Source organism: Homo sapiens, chromosome 4 (assembly GCF_000001405.40).
Source record: "Homo sapiens chromosome 4, GRCh38.p14 Primary Assembly".
In the NCBI taxonomy this organism is placed as follows: domain Eukaryota; kingdom Metazoa; phylum Chordata; class Mammalia; order Primates; family Hominidae; genus Homo; species Homo sapiens.
In genome coordinates this window covers 139,365,414-139,392,589 of record NC_000004.12, presented here as the reverse complement: position 1 = coordinate 139,392,589, position 27,176 = coordinate 139,365,414, and the positions used below count along the sequence as shown (strand labels likewise).

Genomic DNA, 27,176 nt, shown 5'->3' with positions numbered 1-27,176 from the left:
TGTTAGACAATGCATGGTAACTAAATCAGAAGATAAATGTATTAGCAGAAAGCAAGCCTTGGGATCCAGAACATACTCCAAAAATCCCTTCACTTCCTACCTTGTTTCTAATTGAGAGAGTAATTTGTACTTATTGAGATCTAGTTGAAGATTAAGCAACAGCAGAAACCTTTGTATCACAGAGAAAATTTTCCATCACATCTTCACCACTACCAACTTTTTTTCAGTTAGGAAGAATTATACCACTTTTATTAGATAATGCAGACCCTTAAACTAGGGACAAAGGCCTAATTTTTAAAATGTAAGAACCACAGTATAGTTTTGTTAGATTGCCAAGTAGCAACTTTACTTTCGGTACAAGCACCCTTGAATCAAAGTCTATATTTTGGTTTTGGCACATAGAATTTAAGACTACGAGTTAGTAAAAGTTCTAATTTATATAGTACCAGTTTTTTCTTTCTTCTGGTTACAATCCCAAGAGAGCATTGTTTCAAAGGCAACTGGATAAACTGAGGCACTAGAAACTTTTAGATCTTCTTTCCTATAATATGCTGCTCCCTCTCCCTATCTTCATAAAAGGGGGTGTGTCCTAAGCTGGGCATGGTAGGTTGTTCCTATAATCGCAGCTGTTCAGGAGGCTGAGGTGGGAGGATTGCTTGAAGCCAGGAGTTCACAATCAGCCTGGACAACATAGTGAGATCCCATCTCTATAACAAAACAGCAACAACAAAAGAGGAGGTGTGTCCTGATGGAGGCAGCAGGTTTGAATATAGTATATAACCAAGACAGTACATAAAAGATACTCTTCTGATTTATTAAAACAGCATTATTGGCTGGGTGCGGTGGCTCACACCTGTAATTCCAGCACCTTGGGAGGCCGAGGTGGGCGGATCACCTCAGGTCGGGAGTTAGAGACCAGCCTGATCAACATGGAGAAACCTCGTCTCTACTAAAAATACAAAATTAGCCGGACGTGGTGACGCATGCCTGTAGCCCCAGCTACCCAGGAGGCTGAGGTTGCGGTGAGCCGAGATCGCGCCATTGCACTCCAGCCTGGGCAGCAAGAGCAAAACTCCGTCTCAAAAACAAAACAAAACAAAAAACACCAGCATTATTTTCTCCAGAACCTCCTGTACATTACCAATATTTTAATTTCAACAACGATCTCAGATTGCATACTAAAAGGTAAAAGTGCAATTCAGTAATCTTTTCCAAAAATGTTTTATTGCTACAGGTTGAAATTTTTCAACCATCAAAATTAGAACAAAATTTAAGTTTCTGCTCACTATGGTGTAACACAGCCATTTCGTGGGACTTTGTTTTTAATGTAGGTTGGCAGTAGAGTTCAGCAAAGTTTAGATGATAGCAGAATGGTATCATGAAACTTTGTTTATAACTTAAAGAAGTGGGGCATTAGCTAGAATAGAAAGACCGCCTTCTATTTGAAAGGTCAGTCTTTCTTTGAAATCTCAAAGATTCATTTCAAAATTTAAGGCTTTAATTATCTGACACAAGTATATACCTATCTTGCAACAAAGTCCAATATTTTACATTACAGCTTTTCCCAAATACTATACATGGTAACTGAAATATTCTTAGAAATCATACAAGACTTCCCTGAACTTACCACAACCTACCTGAATCTGGACCACACTTTTTTTGATCTCTTCATAAAGTCACAGCTTTCATTTCACAGCTCTAATAGCAATACACCATGGAGTACAAACAACACTGTGAAAAACAAGGGCCTGATAAAGCCCACAGCAAAGCTATTCACTAATATTGGCATTACCTTTAGCCATGCTATTAGAGATCACACTTTATTTTTGTGCATAATAAATACGATACAGAAAAATGTTGAAAATATATGACTCAACTATCTAATTAAAGCTGAGTAAACTAACCTAGTCAGATTTTAGTTTTTCAACGAGAAATGACAAGAGTAGCTGAATATAAAGAAAAACAAAAAGAACTTTACTTTCCTATGTTAATACAGGTCAAGAGACCCTTTCTTCTCAAAAGGGTTGGTAACACCAGTTCTTAGCAATAAACATAAGGCACTTGTTTAGATTACAACATCACTCCATTTTTTCCACTTGTTTTTCTAACCCTGTTTTTCCCCCACAGTATCATTTGAAATTAATAGGATGAATGAGGCAAATATGAGACGATCCAGTTGATACTACTCAGAGCAAGATAGTACAGTACAGTGTTTCAGGGGTGATGTCTGGACATAAAATGAACCCAGTCAAGGTCCTCTGACACCAATGTATCCACTATCAAGTAAACCTGAAAGAAAATAAAAGATTTATTCAATAGTTCCAGTAAAATTGGGTTGGAATACAATACACATTAGGAATTTAGCTCCTCACGGGTGGCATCTGCATCTTAAGAGTTCTGAGTACTTATGAATATTCATTCTAAGACAATCTACATCATTTGAACATTGTCAAGACAAATAAATGAATTTCATTTCAATATACAGTAGAGTTTAAACAAAATTCACACATACACCCCCTATTATATGGCTGGTACCTCCTCCAAACACCTCATTAGTGGCAGAGGTAGGACTAGTGTTCTTTCCCAACAATAAGAACTTCAGTTGCCACTCATAGGAGTTGAAAAAAAGTTTTTGTTTTTTTGCCATCTGTTAAGATGTTCCTGAGACAGGGCCAGTTAATAAAACATAACAAAGCACTGGAGTTCGGTTTGTACTTCTCTTTACATCACTACTAAACTGTTAGACTGAGATGTGGAATGCAGGTCATGTACTATGAAAAGTTGATTGTAGCACAACTGTTCAATCAGTAAAAGGTCTTCGGCAAATTCCCTTTAGAGTATACTTTCTATAAACTACATGTTCCACAAAAAGGTCAATTATATATACAATTGATTTGTTTTACTTAATCTTATTTGCTCAGATCTTGCAAATGCAATGAGAATATTAAGCCTGAGGCTAGTTCTCAGTGTATAGGTTTAACAAATTAAGGCTCATTTTCCCAAATCAAAATAGTTTTTAGTTTTCCTTTTAAATTATGAATTACATTCATAGTACCTGCCACCAGCCTTGCCCTCAATGAAATCTTAATGCAGGAGCAGCATTCTACTTCATTATGGAATTTCCCTGACACCAGCACTTAGCCCCTTCTAAAAAGCTCCCATCTGCACTAGCCTTACAGCATATTACATTGCCTCTGGCTTGCACCTCTGTTTCCACCTGTGTATTTCACAGAAGCCCAACACAGATTAGTTGAAATATTCACACAACTGTTTTTCAAAACAATTTATTGCATCATATTTGGTACCTTATGTTTGACAACAAAAAGGAAATTACATCTGTAACTGCAAGAAAAAGAAGCTGGTCTGTTATTTGAAAAAAAAAAAAAAAAAAAAAATCTTGGGCCCTTTAAAAATTACAAAGTCTTGGGCTTGCCTGAAACAACTGAGCAAGAAATATATTCTTAGAAATGTAGGGCTTCAAGTATTACAAACCTGTGACACTGTGGAAAAATTCCAGAGGTATCTAAACTGCAGCACTTTTTTTTCTGCATATCGTGAACAAGGCCTGCTGAGGTTTTTAACTATTAGTCTTTTGATCAGTCATAGAATGGTAGTCAGGAGTTCTGCTCTTTAACTTCAAGCCATGGTAGATTTTCCTTTTTTCACTCTTGGGTGAAAAATTCATGCTTGCTAATTAGTTGGTGCCACATCACAGTGCATTTGGTTCTTGCATTACAGTTTTAACAAGTTTGGCCAAACAATGCTGAAAGGTTTGCATTGTTGTTTTAGTTCTTCAAGTTTTAGTTAAAATTGAGACTGTTACAACTGGTTCCTTCAGTTAAAAACTGTGGTACAAGAACACCAAACTGATCATGTACAGTGAATTTTGGAAACACAAGCGTATTGAACACCTTATAGGTTTCTTATAATTTTGCTTGGTATCTATATGTCCCAGTTTCTACAACATCAAGCATCTGTTGTAGGTTTCTCTGTAAATAGTGATTCACATTGCATACTTCCTATGGTCAGAATCAACCCCGTAACAAAATCAGTCAGATGCTAAAGCCCCAACAACTCTTTGTGCTCAGTGAAAGAATCCAGTGCTAAAACAGCATTTATGCTGTCTGAGATATAGTAAAATCTCACAAGACAAATTTAAAGTAATATTTCTGCCACACACCTGCTTTGTTAGCTGTAACAGCCTCCAGATTTTATATAAATTAGTTTAAAAACATGGGTGGGTGGGGAGGAATAGGATAAGGTATCTTTTTTAACCACTCAATTTTAGCAGCTTTAATTTTTTAAGAAACTGAACCTCTATCCTGTAATGTTAGATATTTTATATATACTTTTTCAGCAGGATAAAAAACGTAAAACACTATTTGAAGGCAAGAACATTTACTCCTCTCATTCTGTGTAAGTTAGAGCAATGCAGCAGGTGCGTGACAAAAATATTATATACTAGATATGGTCCAAAGTCATTCCATTTGCTTGTTTAGTGATGTTCAAATTTCATTGGCCAGTTCTTCAGCTTCTGCAGAACTATCTCCATTAACTGTGATCTTCATATCCTCTTCATATCCAGGAGGCATGAAAGCCAAAGCATAAGGGAAAAGCTTATGACAATTTGCTCTATAAATTTCAGCAGCTTCTTTACAGTCTCCTAGGCTACCATCATACAAGGCTTCCAATACCTCCATACATGTCTAAGGAAAGAAAAAAAGTCATGTTGTAACTGGTCAAAAAAAGGTTCTTACTGGGAATTTATTAGACATTTCAACAGCAAGAGATTTCTAAAATAAGAAATAAATACACATATTTAGCTATTTACTCCTGCATATGCATTCTATTAGAATGTTCTTCAAGGCCTAATTTAACCATTTCTCCAGAATTGCAGGATTTATACAAAAGGCTAAACAGGGATGACTGCAGAAACAGGAATGGGACTATGGTGAGGCAAGCAAGGTATATGGAGTGCTACATTTAAAAAGCCACTCACTCTCAGCAAGCGTATGACCTTAGGCAGCAATGTTACCTCAGCCTAGCCTGGCCCTGGGTATAAACATCTAGATTTACAATGCCAATACCAATTACTGCACATATGCCTTCTAATATTTTTGAAAGCTTAGAGCCAGCCAGCAAACTCAAACACTGTATTCAACATTGTGTTCAAATTAAAGAGCAACTTAAGGCACATCCAATAACTAAGCAGAAAAGAGTGTCTCAAACATGAAGTGATTATTTGCAAGAAAAATTAGTTCATGAAAATGAGTAATTCTTTCAACCAAACCCCTAAGTAAGTCTGCTTCTTATCTTTTTTGTTGATTCATGTTGATTTGCATTTCTCATGTTTGCTTTCTTAATATTTTCACTTAGAAAAGCTACTTAGTTTCCACATGCAAAAATCCCTACAAACTTTGCCAGGTTACAAAGCAACTTAAATCCAGGTTACAAAGGACCTAGATTAGAACTTTAAATCCAGGTTCTAATCTAAATGGTAAAACAAACAAGTCTAATTTTTCTTTCTTAAAGATACTGCCTTCATTTGCTATTAAATGAATATATTTATTAATAACTGTCTTTCAGCATATACATGTTTATCTGGCAAATTATAACATGAGGTAGCTATCCCTTTGTTTCTAGTTTAAACTACAGTATTTTACAATACACCCATATTAATTTTTATTTAACTTAATCTCATATTGTATTACAAGTTACAAAATAAGTATTTTTATTTAGCCCCTAGTAAATACATCTTTCTTTATTTTGAGATAGGGTCTTGCCCTGTTGTCCATACTGGAGTACAGCGTCACAATCACAGCCCACTGCAGCTCCAACCTTTCAGGCTCAAGTGTTCCTCATATCTCAGTCCCCCAAGTAGCTGGGAATACAGTGCCACCACATCTGACTGATTTTTTTTTTTAAGAGATGGGGTCTCACTATGTTGCCCTGGCTTGTCTCGAACTCATGAGCTGCAGTGATCTGCCCACTTTGGCCTGCCAAAGTGCTGGGAATATAGGCCATGAACCAAAACGCCTAGCCAAAATACATTTTAAACATGTTAGAATCTCCACTGAGACCACTGCTTGCTCAGAAATGCAGAGATATGAAATGAAATCCAAAAATGACGATGGAATGTATATGATTTTATTAAAACATATTTCTTAAAAAGTTATTCCAAGCTACAGATGTGAAACTAGTTACTGAATGCCAAGCAGCCTAAATAAATTTTAAGATAAGTTGTTTCTGACCCAGATTCATAATGATTTAAAAAACAGTGTGTATAAATACCCAATTATTTCTCTTGGTGAAAAAAGTAGTTAAGTATTCTTACAGAGAGATTATGAAAAACTCTTTACCTGGAGGTTTCTGTTAGTGAGAGATTCATCAAGTGTTGTTGCCAACTCTATAGCTCGCTTCTGACTAGAAGGATCTAAGTAATATACCATTTTGGCAGCTAAATGAGAGGGAAATAGGAAATTTATTTCAAGGTAAAACCAACATCTTATCCTCTACTTATTTAAATATAAAAGGCAAACAAGATATATATGCAGAGGGTGTGGCACTTTATTAGAAGAATGGGAACAGCTACTTGAGATACTGTTATTCAAAAAATAATAATGCTAAGGGGATTAGCTTAACCATCCAAAGAAAGAGAACAATAGAGGTATACCACATATATCTACCCAATAAAATAGAATGTATATGCAACACATGCACAGTAAAGGAGACTATGAAGAAACACAAGCATTCTAATAATACTTGTATTTTTGTGGTAGGACCATGATAGTCTTCTTTCTGAAATAAGCAGAATAATGTGGAGGTTGGGGGACTATCCTATCTCAACAGTGTGAGCCAAAATGCTGAATTCAGGATTCCACAAAGGTATACAAAGCTGCTGGGCTTAAGCCAAGTATTTGAAAAGTACTACCCACATGGTCCCATAAAGGTCAGATTTTGGCTCATTGGCACAGACCCTTGACTTAGATTTCTCACAAACTGTGAAGATAATTTCAGGTGTTTAGCACTGTCAACTCTGATACCTACATAAGAATGAGAAATGGAAGACGATGGTCCTATCTGAGTGAATTTTAAGAGCCCAATGATGAAAAAAGAAATAAAAGAAAGCTCTACCTTCATTTTATGATATACATTTAAGTTTAGTTACACCTGCTTCTTTGTAATGCCAATGCTGAACCAGAAGAGACCACTGACTTTGATTTGTAGTGATTATTTTGCCGTAAGAAATTAAAAAATGTATAGGAAGCGCATATATATATAATATATATTATATATATATATATATTATATATATATATGTTTGGTTTTGTTTTGATTTGAAACAGGGTATCATTATGTTGCCCAGACTGGCCTCAAATTCCTGGGCTCAAGTGATCCTTCTGCCTCAGCATCCTGAGTAGCTGGGACTACCGGTATGTGCCACTGTGCCCAGCTTAGGAAGCTTATTTAAGCTGCCTGTTTTCATACGATCACAATGTAACATATACACACTGCCTCTTCCATTCTAAAAACATGTACCTTATATTATTGTTGATTCATTAAAATTACTGAAGTTGTTTTAGAAGGCTAAGGATAAAATAAAGTGATTACCTGATAATCTGTGTGGCAATGAATCAGAATTCCTTTTCAGAAAAGTTTCATTAAAATTCTTTGGATTCGTTGCTCCAAAAAGACGATTCATTTCTTGTTTTAATACTGTTCTAACTGTATCAGATAAATCTTTACTTTCACACACTGCTGAATAAATTAAAAATAAAATCTTAGCAGTTGAATACTCTGATAAAGTTTACAAAAGTTTATTTTTGTTTGTGTTTGAGACAGGGTCTTGCTCTATCACCCAGGCTGGAGTACAGTGGCACAACCATGGCTCACTGTAGCCTCAACCTTCCAGGCTCATGCAATCCTCCCACTTCAGCCCCCCAGGTAGCTGGGACTTCAGGTGTGCACCACCACACCCAGCCTATAGGAGTTAAATTACCTAATGATGAGGCCAATGAAACATGGCAATTATATACAAAGACAAGATAAAACCTACTGATAATTTAACATTTGCAAAAAGAGCTTACCTATATAAACTGACTGACTGATTGAGACAGACAAGGTTTTACTGCCACCCAAGCTGGAGTACAGTGGCGCAATCATGGCTCACTGCAGCGTCAACCTCCCAGGCTTCAGTGATCCACCCACCTCAGCCTCCTGAGAAGCTGGGACCACAGGTGCAAGCTACCACGTCCAGCTAATTTTTCTATTTTTTTGTAGAGACAGGGTTTCGCCATGTTGCCCAGGCTGGTCTCCAACTCCTGGGCTCAAGAGATCTGTTCACCTTGGCCTCCCAAAGTGTTGGGATTACAGGCATGAGCCATCATGCCCAGCAATACACATTAAAAAGAATGTATGTCAGCAGAACAATCTAATGTTCTAAAGGCATTCAAATAATTTTATTAACACGAGATTCATTTCCAGAAAGGAACTGTAAGCAAAGGAGATGACAAAACAAGTAGTTTCACAGCCTTCTAAACCCCTAGAGCTGCCCCCTCAACCTTAAGGTCTGCAAAGCAGCAACTTGGGAATACCCACCTGGTAAATAGTATCACAGCCAACTATGTAGTGCTGAAGACAACAAATTTTCCTCACCCTCCCTATCTTCCTCTATACCCAAGTAAGGCACACGTTTCAATTAAAAACAAAAGAAAACATGGTTGATGTCATTGACCTTTATTTCAGAAACTATGTAAATTGAGCTATCACTGTATAATAAACTCCCAAGGACCACCAAAGCATTTTCCTATTAATAAATAGGCTGGGCACGGTGGCTCACACCTGTAATCCCAGCACTTTGGGAGGCCAAGGCGGGTGGATCACTTGAGGTCAGGAGTTCGAGACCAACCTGGCCAACATGGCGAAACCCCGTCTCTGCTAAAAATAAAAAAATTAGCCTGGCATGGTGGTGTGTGCCTGTGGTCCCAGCTACTCAGGAGGCTGAGGCAGGAGAACAGCTTGAACCTGGGAGGTGGAGGTTGCAGTGAGCCAAGATCATGCCACTGCATTCCAGCCTGGGTGACACAGTGAGACTCTGTCTCAAAATAAATACATAAATGAATGAATGCACTGTTGTCATCATATTCCCAGGCCTTGGGATTTAGAGATGATTCCTCTGGATTGAATCCAAGTTATACTTTGTTTCATTATCATTTTGGTATAAAGAGAGAGTCTGGAGCTTTGAAGCCAGTTAGACTTGGGTATGGATCCAGGCTTGGATAAGTCATAACCTCTCTGAACCTATTTCTTGATCTATAAAACTGGGGTGATATCTAATCTAAAAGATTTACAGTAAGGAAAAGCTACTGTGTAAAAGTGCTAATTATGTAATAGGTAGTCAATAAATCATAGTTACTATTTTTATCATAGTGTGAAAACATTACGTAGATTTTCCTTATGGCTGGGAACTATGGTGATGACTTTCAAATTTTCACTTTAATCAGGTATTTGTACTGCGACAAATACATATTCCATATCCATAACTTATGTGAAGCAAAAGTTTCACAGAACACTTACTGTGTGCAACATATGCTGATCTTTTCTACACTATTCTATTTTTATTTTGGGTTTTTGAGTGCTGGTAATGACCCACTATCCTGCTAATGGATCATTAATCTAAGTTTAAAAAATATAATGAACTCAGTAGGAAACATTTTCTAAGTGAAATATTCTATACATAATTATTAGCTGAATAATTCACTGACATGCTCTTTGTTGGTTAAATAGCATTTCTTCTATTATTCTATAAAACTGGGTGGTTCAAGTAAATGAGCTATAGTGAAATACTTTAGTTTAACCTCTACTATGGCTGTACTTTCAACTTGGTTTTGTCAATCTATCAATACTTGTTTTTCAGTGGAAAAGCAGGAATAGAGAGGAAACAGAAAAAAGTTATTAAAATAGGTTACAGCCAACTGCAATGACATTAATTATCTCAAAAAGAATGTATCTTCTGTACAATAAAAATTATTTACATAGGCCTTGCTGGTTTGCCTGAAATGCTTTCAGGATACTTTACATGTAAAAAATATCTGCATAGTTTGTATCATAGTTGATGAAGAGAGGGGTAGGCAAGGGGTTTTTATGGTTTTCATTATCTTTTTTTAACTTGTTTTAATCAGATTAAACAATCTCCCAGAAAAATTAAAACTGCTAAAAAAAACTCTACCAAAACTGAAGCAAATAACTTCACTAACAGCTGATTCCAAAAAGTTTGAGGCCTACTAATTTTCTCCTAAACTTTTCTGGATATTTTCCTGGAAATTACAGTTCCAGAAAACTAGAATTGTTAACCTCCAGGAAAATATCAATTACAAAAAGGATAAAAAAATTCTACTGCAGTAAAACCCAGAATGTCCTATGGAATTCTGTGTAATGAAATTTTATGTGTACCCTTAAGAAAAGGAGCAACATCATATGTCACAGATTATCAGATGTCCATTTACTGCTAAAGACTAGTGGGCAGGGGAGAAAAACTCTAAAAAGCCTTTGAATGTGGTAAAACTGACAAAAAACATCAAGGCCTCAGGAAAGTAGCAAATCCCCTACTAACTCAATTACCTTCCATGAAAGAGTAATAAGTCTTGAGAATCAAGGAAAAGTAATAACTGATGAGCGAGAAGGGGAATATAAAACCTTTTCTAAGGGGTTTTTGATTTGGGTCCTTTGACATCTTAAACTGGAATGTTTGGTTCATGCTATTAGCTTATTAACAGAATGAATAAATTAAGCAAGCACCAATGGTTAAAACACACAATGAAAAGGTGGCTGATTCTTAGCAAAAGGGATTGCACAGGGTTCTCAGGCTAGCTGGCATTGTTAATAATTTGGGTAAAAAATGTTCTTATTTTGTGTGAGGTAATGACTGTTCACTACTAGGTTATAGTACAACCGAGTAAGTGATTACAACTCAAAAACGGCAAAATAAATGAGAAAATTAAACAAAGCTTAAAAAAATAAAAAATTTAATAATTTAGTAAGTATTAAACAAGGTTTAATAAACAAATTAGATTATGAAAGAAGGTTGGAGGAGACATACATAAGTATAAAAAACATATCTGCAGATCAAAGAAAAATGAGTTTGTGCAAATGGGAGAGGAAAAAGACCTAAGTTTCACTGTAGATCAAGGCAGCCAAATAGTGCTAATTTTAAAAGCAGTTAGGAGAATATAAACATTTAAGAAAATAATAAGACAAATAGAATATATAAGCACCTATCTTTTACTTAGCACTGACCAGAAATGTAATTGTTTTAAGTCCTACAACTTTAAAATTTAAAATCATAAAAAACTTTAAAAGGGTATTAAATATATCATCCTCATAATAAGAAAAAGACAGTGCTCCTATATGGTAAATAACTGCATGCAGCATTTAGTAATAACATTGTTAGTATAACAACATATTCTAGAGATTTGGAGGGTGCCAGTAACCATGCTAAAATCCATATTCACTCAGCAAAGCTTCCGCAACTGATGAAATAGGTATGGAGGCACTGTTTTCCTCTATACTCTCCAGAAAGGTGTCTGTGAGGGTTTCTTTGTAAAGAAGCAGTTACAACAGTATATCTTAACATGACAAATGTATTCCTGAGAAATTACTTCTAAATTACATATTTTTTTAAAGTACCAAATATTTTAGTTAAAGAAACCCTTGGGGTATAACAAAGATGCCACTATTTGGATATCTGTATTTTCACATATGCCTTTATAGTACACCCGTTTTCAATAAAGGCAATGAAGCAGTCTACCCAACTTCTTAAAGGCTTTTTAAGAGACAGATCTTTACCAATGCAAATAATCACAACCTAATTTCATTGCCTAAAGTCAGTCAAAATTAGATCACTTTGTAAAGTGATGACGATTTCAGCTGAACACAAAGAGCAATGGGTATAGCCAGTATAGATACTCAGTAATTCTAACTAATTATTAATCATTCTAAGCCCATGTGTATTTTAATTTTCTGAAACCAACTGCTGAAAGAAAACACTCATGTTAATCAATCTACATACTGATTATAAGCAAATACATTTAAATATGTCACTTTTAATTTGTATTTCAAAAGAAAGTATCTAACTCAAAAGGATTTAGGTTATTTTACTACCTTTCAGGAAAATATGTATAAAGTATATAACAGTGTGTATGTTATTTTTGAAAATACTTCATTTTGAAAATACATATACTCCATCTTAACTGAGAATAAATTAAAACTATTATTTCTATCCTTAATTTTCTGACCCATGATTGCAAAGTTATTTTTCATACTCCCCCCCCCCAAAAAAACTAAAGAGAAACAAACTACTAAATACAGCAATTCTCTCCTTTACTTTCTACAATATGGTTACATTATTACTTTCATAATTTTTAAAAATTGAGGAAAAACACTTCTACAATTCAGTTTTTGTAACACAAATTAGTTTTTGGACAAGCGTAGTATAATTTAAGTCTAATCTTTCTGGAAAGTCAAAACGATGTTGTTGTTGTTTTTTTGAGACGGAGTCTCACTCTGTTGCCCAGGCTGGAGTGTAGTGGCGTGATCTCGGCTCACTGCAACCTCCGCCTTGCAAGTTCAAGCGATTCTCCTGCCTCACCCTCCTGAATAGCTGGGACTACAGGCATGTGCCACCATGGCCGGCTAATTTTTGTATTTTTTGGTAGAGACGGGGGTTCGCTATGTTAGCCAGGCTGGTCTCGAACTCCTGACCGCAAGTGATCCGCCCACCTCGGCTTCCTGAAATGCTGGGATTACAGGTGTGAGCCACTCCACCCAGCCAAAATGATGTTCTCAATTGGGACAATTTAGCATTTTTTTGGTGATTGGGATGCCTGATTTAATTTCCTCAGTTTTAAATGTATGGAGTTGGCAATGTGATAGTTAATAGTATTTCCAAATTCTATAGATTATTCTGTTAAAGGTTCTATTTCTCCCCCACCAGTCACTTAAAAATCCAAACAACAATACAACCTGACTACAGGAGTACTTTATTATAAATGTACAGTTCTTACAGTAGAAAGAACAATATGAAGATGTGGGCTCTAGTCACTGTTGCGTTACTAAGTTTCTATCTGTTACCTAGAATAAGTCATCTTTTAAGGTCTCAGATTTTTCCCACTATGAAATGAGAGACAATTACTGTAACATTCTACCTTTCAGGGTCTAAAATTCTGTAGTTCTACTTTACATTAAAACTAATATAAAACTGATCTGATTGTCAAAATATTTGAAGATACAGATAATTGTTTTAAAGTAACAAAAAATTTTATGACTCGAATTGTGCTAAGAAAACATAATTCATGCAAATTCAGATCTACAATACAGATAAATAAGGAGAAAACAGTCAATTTCAAAGAGATTCTTCAATTTCAAAACAATTTACTAAGAAGTTTTACATAACAAAATATGGTTCAAAATTTCAACTTACATGTAACTTTTTAGAAACAGAAACAAAGATGATTCTCAAATATCTGGACTGAATAATTCTATGTCAAAATCAGGTAATACTTGTATCCTTAAAATAAAAACCTTCATCATAAAGAAAAAAGCCCTGCTTTTCCCTTAGCTAATTTAGTATGTGACAGCTTTAAAATCATTTGGTTTATGATAAACTTGTACAGACCACTTATACCGTCACCATCAACCACTGTATCAAATACTTAAGTAATGGAAAACAAAAACATACCAGTATTAAAGAGACGAATCATACACTCATGAAGCCAGGGATGACTAGAATCAATAGCAAATGCCCTCTTTACTGATTGTAGCATCAAAAGAAACTTTTCTATAAAAAGAGAAAGTAAGATATATTTTGATCATTGGATAAGAGGCCTCCTTTGGAGGGCCAAGACTTCACAAATAGAAAAAGTAAATTTAGAGTCGATCACATCAGAACCACAAACATACGATTGAGGCAAACGATTTTCCTCAAATTTAGCAACATTAGTTAATATTTTTCACATAACATTAAGAAAAAACGTTTTGTGAAATGTAGAAAATTTAGGTGGCATTTAGCAATATTTAAACTAATGACATATAAGCAAAGAAAATCTGAAGTGCCTTCATTTCCTAACTTCCTTTATTTCAAAATAAAGCAACCTTTCCCACTACTTAGAAAATTTCATTGTGTATATTTGAAGGTATTCTTTTATTTTGTGACATGTGAAACAGCTTCCCTTCTGTTTGACTGTTCCTCTCCTGTCAATCTGTGACTCCTTTCTCCTCTAAAGGTAGAATAGTTACCAAGGTTATCTTTTCAGTCATTCTCTGATCTTTCCCTATGCTATCCCCACACCCATTCCCTGTATTTCCCAAGATTCAGTAGTATCTCCACCTGTTAAATGGAAATTTGCACTTGAATACTCAGTCCACTTCCAAGTTTTATCTATAACCAACCTCTTTGATAAGACTTTCCTAATTTGGTACCATTTTCCCAATGTCAAAGTTCAAAACCCCAGTCTCTTCTCCTAATGCTCTTTCCCTTGTCCCCAATACTAAAAAAGCCAAAAATACTGCCATGCCTTTGTCATTACCAATTTCGTACAACTGCAGTGGATTCCAAATGCTGGGGTCCTTTAGAGGTTAGGACACAGCCAAGAAGCAAACTGAATGGGGCTTTAGATTGCCCTTCCCTACTTTAAGCAGAGCAGCTTTTGAATTTTATACTTTGGGGTTCCATTTAAGAATTTTTTAAAAGTGGGAGTTGTATTAACTGTTAAAGTTTGAGAATTATTGGACTATTTATTAAACTTATTTTCCACGTTATAATAATTGTGGGAAGTAGAAAATACAGTAAATTATTTTAATCACTCAAAATCTATCGAGACAATCTGTTATCTTTTGATCTATTTCTTTCCAGCCACTTCTATATTATATACCTATGTAAATATATTAATAAAATTTCAATTTATAGGTAGTTCTGTGTCCTATTTTGGAATAATATAATATAGCAACTTTTCCCCAACATCATTTACTTTTGATAAACATGACCTTTTTTTTTTTGAGATGGAGTTTGATTCTTGTTTCCCAGGCTGGAGTGCAATGGCGTGATCTAGGCTCACCACAACCTCTGCCTCCCGGGTTCAAGCGATTCTCCTGCCTCAGCCTCCTGAGTAGCTGGGATTACAGGCATGTGCCACCACACCCGGCTAATTTTTTGTATTTTTAGTAGAGACGGGGTTTCTCCATGTTGGTCAGGCTGGTGTCAAACTCCCGACCTCAGGTGATCCACCTGCCTCGGCCTCCCAAAATGCTGGGATTACAGTCATGAGCCGCTGCGCCTGGCCAAACATGACTTTTTAAATGGATACTCATATAGAGAAGTACCATGTTATTCAATTTCCTTTAGTAGATATACTGTTTAGAGCAACAACCTTCTCTTTGATTTTATTAAACAGTTTCTCTTTCCTTTAATATGCATCACCTTTGTGACGAACTCTTTTTTCAATTAACCACTTGGAAAATATTAACTCAGTACTCTAAAATCTTATTATCTACTACATATATATTCTAAGCATTCTAAACCTGGAAACCAAGACCCTTCATTCATCTTTTACCTGCTCCAGGCAATTCAGACAACCTCAACATTATTTACACACTCCTATGTTTTCTTAACAGATACTCTTGCCTTCTATGTATCTTTTCCTTTAGAAATATAATCCATCCTTCAAGATCCAGGCTCAAAATTTTATCTTCTATTTATAACAATAGCTAATAATAGCTAACATTTATTTAATGCTTACTATATACCAGGTACTAGGTCTAAGCTCTGTGTATTAACTAATTTTATCCACATGATCAATTCTTTGAACCATATACATGGTAATTACATCTGACCTGAATCCTAGTTATGTTATGTACATCTATCATTGATTCTAATATCCTAAAAGAAGTGATTATATCATTATATCTCCCTACACATTCTGTTCATAGCAGGCATTTCTGTGAGAAAGCTGCGTTGGCATTTGCTAAATAATCGTACAGTGGTAAGGCTATCAGAGTTGGGTGACTATACCTAAGAAATACAGTGATCAGTTTTGTCAGGGCCACTGTACCCTAATTGCCTACCTTTCCTAAAGTAAATCTCAAAGGCAAAAAGATGAGTCTCTATCTTGTTCTTCACCAAGTTCTTCAACGGTGTTAAAAATTTAATAGCTTCTTCCAATGGAGTTTCAACCTAACAAAAATAAAAGATATTATACAAATGAAACTAAGGTTCTTGGGGAATGTGATTTTATTCTACTAAAAATTCTTATTTTTAAAAAATAAAATCACTTACCAGTCACCCAGAAAAACACTGTCATATTTTAACCTCCTATAACCTAAAAAAGGGGATTTTGAATTCTAGAATTCTTAACTGATTTTTAACCCTAGATACTTTATTATTGCTGGATAGAAACTATCCAAAAAGAAGGAAGTAGATAAAACAGAACCAGAGAAAGAAAGACAGAAAGAGAAACAGGTCAGATAGCCAAGGGGGAAGAAAGAAGAGATGTAAACTAGGACAGGAGAAGTACAAAGGAGACTACAGAGACCATGACAGAATGAGTGAATGTTCTTTATAATTCAAACAAAGTGAAGTATAATCAAGCTATTCAAAATACTACACTATCCATTCTGTCTTGCTTTGTTCTATAAATTCTACAGGAATTCGTATTTATTCAAATGACATATTAATGGTGAGGTGGCATTTTAAAATATTAATATTTATAGAACTGTGTTCCTACCAATTTTTATTAATTACATAAATGTCATAGTAATTATATACTTGCAATCATTACTAGGCAGGTATAATGCAATTGTGCTACTATTCTACTCCTGGACTGAATATTAAGACAAGACTATTCCCTGTCTTATCTCAGGTAGGGCTGGAGACCACCACCATATTTATCAGAAGGGCACTAAACATCTGGATTCTATATTTGCTTTCTCTCATCACAGAGGCAGTAACAATTTACCCTAATGGAAAATGAATTTGCCACATCTGGTCAACGTGCCTCTGTTAGTAGAGTAATTGTGATTTCACCAAAACAGCTTCTGGGCAAGAAAATTGTTTCACTGCATTTAAAAAAAGAAAAGAAAAGAAAAGAAAAGAAAAGCAGTGAAGTGAATTCTATGGGATTCACCACGTCCTAGTGTGTAAAGCAGAAGGCCTTACAGGACAATAAAATAACCCATTAAAAGCCCAGCTCCAGTGCCGGAATGTTTTCTTTTGAAGGATACATGTTCTAAACCAGAACCAGAAATTAATATATGGCTCTGCCACTCTAATAACTGTGGATTCAGGAACCAAGAGATAGAGGAGAAAATAAAGGCCCTCATAGGTACGACTTCCCCACACATTTGTACATATTTTACTTCTTGCTCCCATGACTCCATATTCTACTATATAGGAATTTCTGGTACAAGGGGAGAAACAGTTGTATCAGAGAAAGGCAGAGAACTGGAAACCAAACCTGCCACCTAGCTGTATCATGCCTTTCATGCCTCTAGGGTACAGTAGGGTACAGACTGAAATGAGGGTCAGTGTATTGACCAGGGTAATTTACTATCAGAGACATATGACTGCTATTACAAAGGGAAACAAGGACTATAGGGCAGGTAAATCAATACAAGTATTTATATTTAGTTAAATCAAGTACTCGAACTTGGAGAGAGGAAACAGAGAAATTAATTCTGTCTCCAACTTTAATAAACAAGAACATATTCCCCCAAAGGAGATCTGGGTTGGGTTTGATATTCTGATAGGTAGTCTCAGTCTCTGTTTACTTCTCATAGGTAAGACTTTGTCAGGGTAAATCTAAGTGTTTAAATATACGTAGATAACCACAAGAAATCTACACTCTATATTTACTCATACATCGTGCAGAACAAGGTTTTATATATACATGGAATCATGTAATCAGAAATGCAAGTCTAAAATCAGTATTTCAGGAAAAAAAAGTCAAAATATCCCTTGAAAATCCTTTAAGCTGAAGACAGGCAGATATAAAAATATAAATACTTTGTATTACGTGTATGAAAACCATGTTTTCAATACCAAACTGACAATCACCACAGCAAGATGTTCACACCAAGATAAGCACACAAGAACTGAAATGGACTGTGACAGTCATGCCTCCCATCTCATACTCAGTTGGGGTCCATTGTTCACTGAGGGAAATACTGGATAGAATTAACCATCATTATGCATATTATTCTTTGTCTCCCTTAAAGAAAAAAGTACATCCATCATGAAGAGTTGAGTTCACTTAGGTTAAATGCATGTAGGATGAGACTGCACTGCACTTAATGGGCAATTTAAGACACTTCCAAGGGCAATTTTAATCATATGCAATTTTTAAATTTATAAACTGACTTGAAATCTAATCCTCATATTAAGATATGTTGTAAAGGAGTATATGTCTCTAGCATAGCAACTCCCAGCACAGCAACAAAAAGTTTAAAATGATACAACTTTTTAAAGAAAGACTACTGTACTAAGGAATCATAGCCTTTGGAAGGAAAAGTATATATACAACAGGAAAAAAAATGCTAGGCTGGGCGCGGTGGCTCACACCTGTAATCCCAGCACTTTGGGAGGCTAAGGTGGGCATATCACTTCAAGTCAGGAGTTCAAGACCAGCCTGGCCAACATGGTGAAACTCCATCTCTACTAAAAATACAAAACAAAACAAATAGTGGGTGTGGTGGTATGTGCCTGTAATCCCAGCTACTGGGGAAGCTGAGGCAGGAGAATCGCTTGAACCTGGGAGGCGGAGTGTTGCAGTGAGCTGAGATCATGCTACTGCACTCCAGCCTGGGTGACAGAGTGAGATTCCATCTCAAAAAAAAAAAAGCAAACAAACAAACCAACAAAATGCTGAGTGAAGGCAAGGAGGAAGATAGGATGAGTGGTACAAAAGGGAATTCATAAATACCAACTAATGCCTCATGGTAAGTTGGAGAAACAAGTGATACAGCTTCTGCCAAGACCTGAGATTTATACTCAAGTTCACTGAATACTGACCTTACTAATTCCCATTTTCCTTTTCTCCTTCTTTACTGGAATTACTGCTAATTTATTAATACTTTGATTTTATTTTATATAGTCATGTGCTACATAATGATGTTTTGGTCAACAATGAACTGCGTAAGTGGTCCCATAAGATTAGAATGCCCTATTTTTAGGGCATTTTAGAAACACAACTACTTACCATGTATCACAATTGCCTATAGTATTCAGTATAGTAACATGCTATACAGGTTTGTAGCCTAGAAGCAATCAGCTATACCATAGAGCCTAAGTGTGTAGTAGACTTTACCATCTAGGTTTGTGTACATACACCCTATGATGTTCGCACAACAATAAAATCACCCAAGCCAGGTGTGGTAGCTCACACCTGTAATCCCAGCACTTTGGGAGGCTGAGGTGGGTGGATCCCTTGAGCCCAAGAGTTTGAGACCAGCCTGGGCAACATGGTAGAATCCCATTGCCATAAAAATAAATTAGCCAGGCGTGGTGGTGGGCACCCGTAGTGCCAGCTACTCTGGAGGCTGAGATGAGAGGATCACTTGAGGCCAGGAGGCAGAGGCTGCAGTGAGCCAAGATCATGCCACTGCACTCTAGCCTGGGTGACAGAGCAAGACCCTGTCTCAAAAGAAAACAAAAAAACAAAACAAAGCAAGAAAATCACCCAAGCATGCATTTGTCAGAATGTATCCCTGTTAAATGACACATGACTGAATATTATCCTGAACTAGTGACACTAAATTTGCCATTTACCACATAGAAGAAAGCTGAAATACAGAATCACCAAAAAAAGGGGGGGTTGAAGGGCGGGGGAGATACTATATACTGCAGAACCAGACTTGGCAGGCGGCCTTTAAAATAACCTACAAAGCCACTCCTAATTATGATGGCTTGGTATAATTTGATGTTGTTACCACATTTGGAAATCTTGGTAAGTATAGATGCTTTTAGACAGGGGCATCTTGGAGGAAGTTAGCTGAGGAAGAAAAAGGTCTTATGTACCTAACAGGTAAGAATAATATGTACTGAGGAGCAGCCCATGAAAAAGGGTACCTTGCACTAAGCTTCTTCCAAACAAAGCAGTCAGAAGCACCGTTTGTAGCCATTACTTTGTTCTCAGACTCTACAATCATGGCTACAAATAATTAGACCACAGGTTGTTATCTGGCTTGAAGGCAATTATGACACCCTGGACCCAAGGAAAACCTAACAGTCTTTAAGGAAACCTAGTACAAGAATTCTGCTCTGCAGGTGTACTCTTTATTAAACAGTAACTAAATAATCAAAAGAGATCCTCTCCTTAAGAAATACATGGGCCAGGCGCAGTGGCTCACGCCTGTAATCCCAGCACTTTGGGAGGCTGAGGCGGGAGGATCATGAGGTCAGGAGATGGAGACCATCCTAGCTAACACAGTGAAACCCCGTCTCTACTAAAAATACAAAAAAATTAGCCGGGCATGGTGGCGGGCGCCTGTAGTCCCAGCTACTTGGGAGGCTGAGGCAGGAGAATGGCGTGAACCTGGGAGGCGGAGCTTGCAGTGAGCCGAGATCGCGCCACTGCACTCCAGCCTGGGTAACAGAGCAAGACTCCACCTCAAACAAACAAACAAACAAAAGAGAAATACATGAAAACATGAAGAGTTATAATGAAAAATGTCATTAAGGAAAGTCATGGGATAAAGGGAAAAGTAAGTAGACAAAGTGATGATGGCAGCAGGCTGGCAGTGAAGGTGGTAAAAGTAGTAGTAATAAAGAAAGTGGGGGCATAAAGATGGAAGGTCTAAAGTTTAAGTTCTATGCCCTGAATGACTGAAATTCTCTGAGGCCTCAAAGGTCCATTTTCTGTGCTTTCTTGCTTCCCTGTGCAGTCTTCCAATAAATTCCCAACAATAAAAAGGTATTGTGTTTGTTCCTAGCAGGTATACAATTATTTGTAAAAACATGTCAATAAATCCTTGTAGAATCCAACTGGATTTTTCTATATTTCGTGTGTGTGTGTGTGTGTGTGTGTGTGTGTGTGTGTGTGTGTGTGCTACTTTTCTTTTTTTTTTTTTTAAGAGACAGAGTCTTGCTATGTCTCCCAGGCTGGAGTACAATGGCTATTCACAGGCATGATCATAGCTCACAGTGTACTGCAGCCTTGAACTCCTAGATTCAAGTGATCCTCCCACCTCAGCCTCCTATATAGTTGGAACTATAGGCACATGGCTATATTTCTCATAGCAATATCACTATGTCTACGTGATACTACTGTCCACCTGCTCTGGTGGACAGAATTCAAAACATATTCTCCAACTCTATTTGTTTGGCATTATAATTTTCCTTGGTTATAAAGCAGTCAGGGAAATGATTTTGAGCCTTTCCTTACTAGTGAGGCTAAAATTAAAGTCTGGGGCGACTGCTTCCTATATTGCTTTAACATAACAAATTATGCAATTATTTTCATACAAAGCAGGAAGATGTCTAGGGTCAAAAGAAAGGACAAAGGAATGTTATTAATCAAAATGGTTCATGTGACAATGAGTATCTTGGTTTCAGCTTAATGGTTAAAACCAGCAGGTCAGATTTTGGCCTAGGGAAAATATTTACAGCCTTAGGCTAGAAAAGAAATAATGTAAACTGACAACAGAGGTAAATGGGAGATACACGTATAGTCCTCAGTTTATAACAAACTCAATTTAGCCTAGACATAAAAACTTGCATGTTACCACTGTAACAGACATTAGATGCTTTACATATGTATTTTCTCCAGTCCTAAATAAGGATTTTCTTAGTTCCATTTTATAGATGAGAAAACCATCAGAGAGGTTAGACAAAGTGTCCAAGGGCACACAGTGAAAATATAAGAGCTAATATCTGGACCCAGATCTGAATGACTCAAAAGCCAAAATTTTTTCCACCATACTATACTATATGACTTTGGAACAGGATCATTATTTCAAGTTTTAAACATGAAACACGATCAGAAACAAAATATTAAAGAAAGAATACTAAAAAATAAAATAATTTTTGGCTCTAAAACCTATATCACATAAGGTTATATACTGTCAAATAAGACAGTATAAAAATGACAAGAGCTGGTCATAAAATGTCACTCAATTGTGCTAAACACTATTATTAAGTACCTTGGCCAGTTTCTCTGGAATAAGTTCTTCTTTTGGACCTCCTATCTCCTCATCATCATCATCCTTCTTCTTTTTCTGATTTCTCTGCTGCTTTTCTTTTTCTGCATTTTTTTTCTCTTCTTCTATCTGGGCTTTCTTTTGAGCTCTTCTTTGTTTATTACGTAGCTTCTTTAGCTCTTTGTCAGACATGTTTGCTGCAGGCAATAAGTTAATTAATAAAATTAACAAGCATGTTAATCAGATTAGTAATTTTAAGTATTATTTGATCCTACCAAACTTCCATTAAAAAATATTGCATGAGGCTGGGCATGGCGTCTCATGCCTATAATCCCAGCACTTTGGGAGGCCAAGGTGGGCAGATGACCTGAGGTCAGGAGTTCGAGACCAGCCTGGCCAACATGGTGAAACCCTGTCTCTACTAAAAATACAAAAATTAGCTGGGTGTGGTGGTATGCACCTGTAATCCCTGCTACTCAGGAGGCTGAGGTAGCATAATTGCTTGAACCCAGGAGGCAGAGGTTGCAGTGAACCAAGATCACACCACTACACTCCAGCCTAGGAAACAAGAGCGAAACTCTGTCTCAAAAAACAAATTTAAAAAAATATTACATGGTATGGATGTAAATGTCCCCATATGTATGTAGCCTTTTTTTTTTTTTTTTTTTTTGAGACGGAGTCTCACTCTGTCACCCATGCTGGAGTGCAGTGGCGAGATCTCAGCTTACTGCAACCTCTGCTTCCCAGGTTCAAGCAATTCTCCTGACTCAGCCTCCCAAGTAGCTGGGACTACAGGCATGTGCCACCACGTCCGGCTGATTTTTGTATTTTTAGTAGAGACGGGGTTTCACCATGTTGGTCAGGCTGGTCTCAAACTCCTGACCTCCTGATCCACCTGCCTCGGCCTCCCAAAGTGCTGGGATTACAGGCGTGAGTCACCGCACCCAGCAGTACCTAGCCTTTTAATGGTTCAACATCAGATAGCAAACAACGGAACCACTTCAGAAAACTTTCTTGAAACCATATGGGATATGCATGTAAACAAATGATCACAGCAAAACATACAAGTTAAACAGCAATATTAAACTATTTGCAATCTATGAATATAACAAGCTGTTGCATATCTCTATGGCTTCAGAGGACTATGCTCGCTTAGTTATGCCTTCTCTAACCTGGCCAAACAATTATTCATTCTGTCTGTGCTGCCACTATGGCTAATATATTTTGCTTGACACAATAGTTTGTTTATACAGCTGTCTCTCTTTTAAGCTATGAGCTCTTTGGTAAAGGAGATCCTGTCTAATTTGTAACCTTATTTTCAGGGCCTAGCAGCATGCCAAAACAGACAGACAACACTCAAATATTTGTTAACACAATAAATGAATAACTCTATAGTAAATTAAAAATTTAATATTGAAAATTAACAATATCCCTAGAAGTATAAACTATTGACTGTCTCAAAAGACTGGAAATCACTGACAAATATGCTATAATATAGTGAAATATTTATATTGTTTTGATTTCAAGGAACAAATTTGAAAGCTAAAGGCTCATCCAGTATTTATTTGGATAACATCTGTTAATATAGAGAAATGAAAAAAGTCATTCCAAAATACACTACCACTGTGGTGATTTCAAAATATGCCCACAAGTTCTTCCTTTAAAAAGGCAGGACCCCCCTCCACCCCCGCCACCTCAAACGTGGGCTATATTTAGTGACTCATGTGTAAGGAGTAACATGTACTATACACCAAGGTATGTAACATTAATATTAGGACATAAATGGACTATAGGTTCCTCCTTGCTTTCTCTTGGATCATTCAGAGGAAACCAGCTCCTGTCTTATGAGGAAACTCAATCTTATGGAAAGACCAATGTATGGCCAAGAACTGATGCCTCTGGCCATGAGAGTAAGCCATCATGGAAGGAGATCCTCCAAGCCAAGCTGATCCTTCAGATGCTCCAGCTGGCAACTTTTTAAATTTTAAAATATAAATAGAGACAGGGTCTCACTATGTTGACGAGGCTGGTCTCGAACTCCTAGACTCAAGCAACCACCCGCCTCAGCTTCCCAAAGCATTAGGACTACAGGCATGAACCACCGTGCCCAGCCAACATCTTGACTTCAGCTGCCTGAGAGACCCAGAGTCTTCAGAAACATACAGCTAAGTGACTTCTGAATTCTTGACACATAGTAACAGTCAGATAATAAACGGTTGCTATTTAAAGCTGCTATGTTTTTGAGTAATTTGTTTTGCAGCAATAGATAAACAACATAGATTTTGGTACCTGGACATGAGATACTGCTGTAACAAAAACCTAAAATGTGGGAATAACTTTGGAGCCAGGGAGTTGCAAAAGGTGGACAGACTTTGAGTAGGGCTTTAGTGGAAGTTTGAAGAGCCTTGGACTATTCATAGAAGTCTAGACTTTGAGGAGGCTGCAGATGAGCCCTTAAAATGAAGTGAAGGATATGTAATAGCCACAGAGTAGCAGAAAGTTTAGCAACAGTGTTATAAAATGTGTCAAATGGACTCAGTGAGCTAACTAACTAACTGAAGGGATTTTCAGGCAAAGTGCCCAGGAAAAATGTAAGAGGACAAAGAAACTAAAGAAAAGAGACAGGGGCTTGATGGTTTTGAAAACTCTCAGTCTCTCCAGAAATGGCTTGCTGGGCAAAGATCAAAAAATATGTCAAGAGGGAAGGCAAAGGGGCTTGGCATTACAATCTTTTGTTACTCAGAATATGGTGGTGCCTCACTATTTAGTCTGAAGAAAGGCTCTCTAAAAAATTTAAGAGTATGACTCACAGATTCTCTCAAACAATAAAACTTCTAAGAACTTAAGGGTGTTCTCCCCTCCATAGAAGCTCAAGTATACGTGGATTCCAATAAGACTCACAAAAGATTCATGATGTTTATTCTATGGGCAGAAATAGTAAATCTGGAAGGAAAAGAATGACAGCACAAAATGAAAAGAGGTCTTTAGACTCTCAATATTTTACTGGTCAGAATACTGAAAAACTACTCAGTTGCAAACAACTGTTAACTTCCAAAAGAAAAAAAGGGTAATTCAGAAAGTGGAACCAGGAACTCAGAGGGCAGGGCCAAGAGCCACAGAAAATTATTCCAGTCTTGGGTCCTCATCAAAGAACTATTAAGCCATGCCCCACTGGACTTGAGGATGGACGTGGTAACTCCTGTGTGTCTCCTAATAATGTCTACAGTGGTCATCCTATGCCTGTCTCATTTTATATTGGGTGTGTAGTTGATAAATAACTTGTAATTTTAGTTAACAGGATTTCATATTAAAAGAACTATAATTGAAATGTCACACTTAAGGTTAAAAATAAAAATAAAAAACTATACTCAAGGAGCTGCTTCAGCACCTGTACCTGATTTACATGACAAGATTCTGAACTTTAAGCTAATGTTACAATGGGATAGACTTCTGAAGGCCTTGAAATGGCTAACTATATTTTGCATATAAGAATAATGTAAGCTGGGCGTGGTGGCTCATGCCTGTAATCCCAGCACTTTGGGAGGCCAAGGCAAGAGGATCACTTCAGCTCAGGACTTTGAGAACAGCCTGGGCAACATAGCAAGACCCCACCTCTACAAAGGATTTTTAAATTAGTTGGGCATGGTGGCATGTGCCTGTAGTCCTACCTACGTGGCAGGCTGAGGTTGGGGGACTGGCTGAGCCCAGGAGTTTGAGGCTGCAATGAGCTATGACTGAGTCTCTGCACTCCAGCCTGGAAGACAGAGTGAGACCCTGTCTCAAAAATTTAAAAAAAAAAAAAAACCCAAAAATGATAATGTAAATAATTTGTAACCAAAATGCAGACCACGGCAGTTAAACTTATGTCTACAAATTCTTCAATTCTCCTCCCCTCAAATATAGGTTGTGCTTGGTGACTCTTTTCTGACCAATTAGAATGTGAAGGAAGTAATGGTGTGATGTCAGGAGAACAGAACATTAAAAAGGTGTTGCAGCTTCTTCCTTTCTCTGTCATCATTAGCTACCATGTCTTCAGAAACTTTAGAAACTATGGAGAGACTAAGAACTAAGGTCTCATGCCAACAGCCAGGTTGAGTAAGCCATCTAGGAAATGGATCCCTTCAGTCCTAGCCAAGCCTTCCAATGATGGCATGCCCATCCAAAATCTCAACTACAACTTCCTAAGAGACCCTGAGTCAGAGTCACTTAGACACTTCTGAATTCCTGACCCAAAAAAAGGGTTATTTTAAGCTGCTAAATTTAGGGATTAATTTATGATGCAGCAATAGATAACATAAAGCCAATGAAAACAAATGCATTATTTGTTTATCTTTCTCCTAGTGAAGAATCTCTTAATACTAAAAACAAAACGCAAAAAAAAAAAAAAATTCTAATAGAGACCAAAAAATTACATTCTGGAAACACAAAACTATAAATGGATGGCAACATAAGCACTGACCTTTTTAACAACTGGTAACATAAATGCTACCACTTGTAGCCTTGCTACATGATAGATATAATGCATACCTTATATTTTTTCTCTCTTTCTTTTTTTCTTTGAAACAGGGTCTCACTCTGTCGTCCAGGCTGGAGTGTAGTGGCAAACATGGTTCACTGCAGCTCTGACTTCCAGGGCTCAAAAGATCCTTCCACTCCTGCCTCCTGAGTAGCTAGAACTACAGGTGCTCACCACCATGCCTATTTTGTTTGGTTGGTTGGGGTTTTTTTTGTATTTGTAGAGACAGTTTCACCATGTTGCCCAGGCTGGTCTCGGACTCCTGGACTCAAACGATCCACCTGCCTTGGCCTCCAAAAGTGCTGGGATTACAGGTGTGTGCCACTGCACCCAGCCCATACCCCATACATTGTATTTCATTTGATGTCCTCAACAACCTCACGAATTAGAGTATAATATTATTTTATATACGAGAAAACTGAGGTTTCAGAGGAAAATAACTCAGAGTCATGGTAAAAGGCAGAGCAAGGATGTAAAT

The 27,176-nt window shown here is 37.0% G+C and overlaps 1 protein-coding gene across 2 annotated transcripts in view, besides 1 other annotated feature; it reads right to left on the bottom strand.

Moving 5' to 3' along the window:
• Positions 1,206-27,176, bottom strand: part of NAA15 (N-alpha-acetyltransferase 15, NatA auxiliary subunit) — an 89,880-nt gene continuing 63,909 nt past the window's right edge. The window contains exons 15-20 of one of the 2 annotated variants that reach the window (NM_057175.5): positions 22,186-22,379; positions 16,117-16,225; positions 13,736-13,834; positions 7,612-7,758; positions 6,360-6,457; positions 1,206-4,706 (exon numbers count right to left, since the gene is read on the bottom strand). In NM_057175.5, the coding sequence (NP_476516.1) occupies positions 4,506-4,706; positions 6,360-6,457; positions 7,612-7,758; positions 13,736-13,834; positions 16,117-16,225; positions 22,186-22,379 (848 nt within the window). In that variant the 3' untranslated portion in view covers positions 1,206-4,505. The remainder of the gene's footprint in view (positions 4,707-6,359; positions 6,458-7,611; positions 7,759-13,735; positions 13,835-16,116; positions 16,226-22,185; positions 22,380-27,176) is intronic. The other variant, NM_001410842.1, reaches the window with a different exon arrangement.
• Positions 8,071-8,233: a silencer, noted in NCBI's record as "fragment chr4:140305511-140305673 (GRCh37/hg19 assembly coordinates)". NCBI's record gives its function as "represses an EF-1alpha promoter that drives an FKBP-Casp9 reporter gene in an ReSE screen in K562 erythroleukemia cells {active_cell/tissue: K562}" and the evidence as "EXISTENCE:reporter gene assay evidence [ECO:0000049][PMID:32094911]".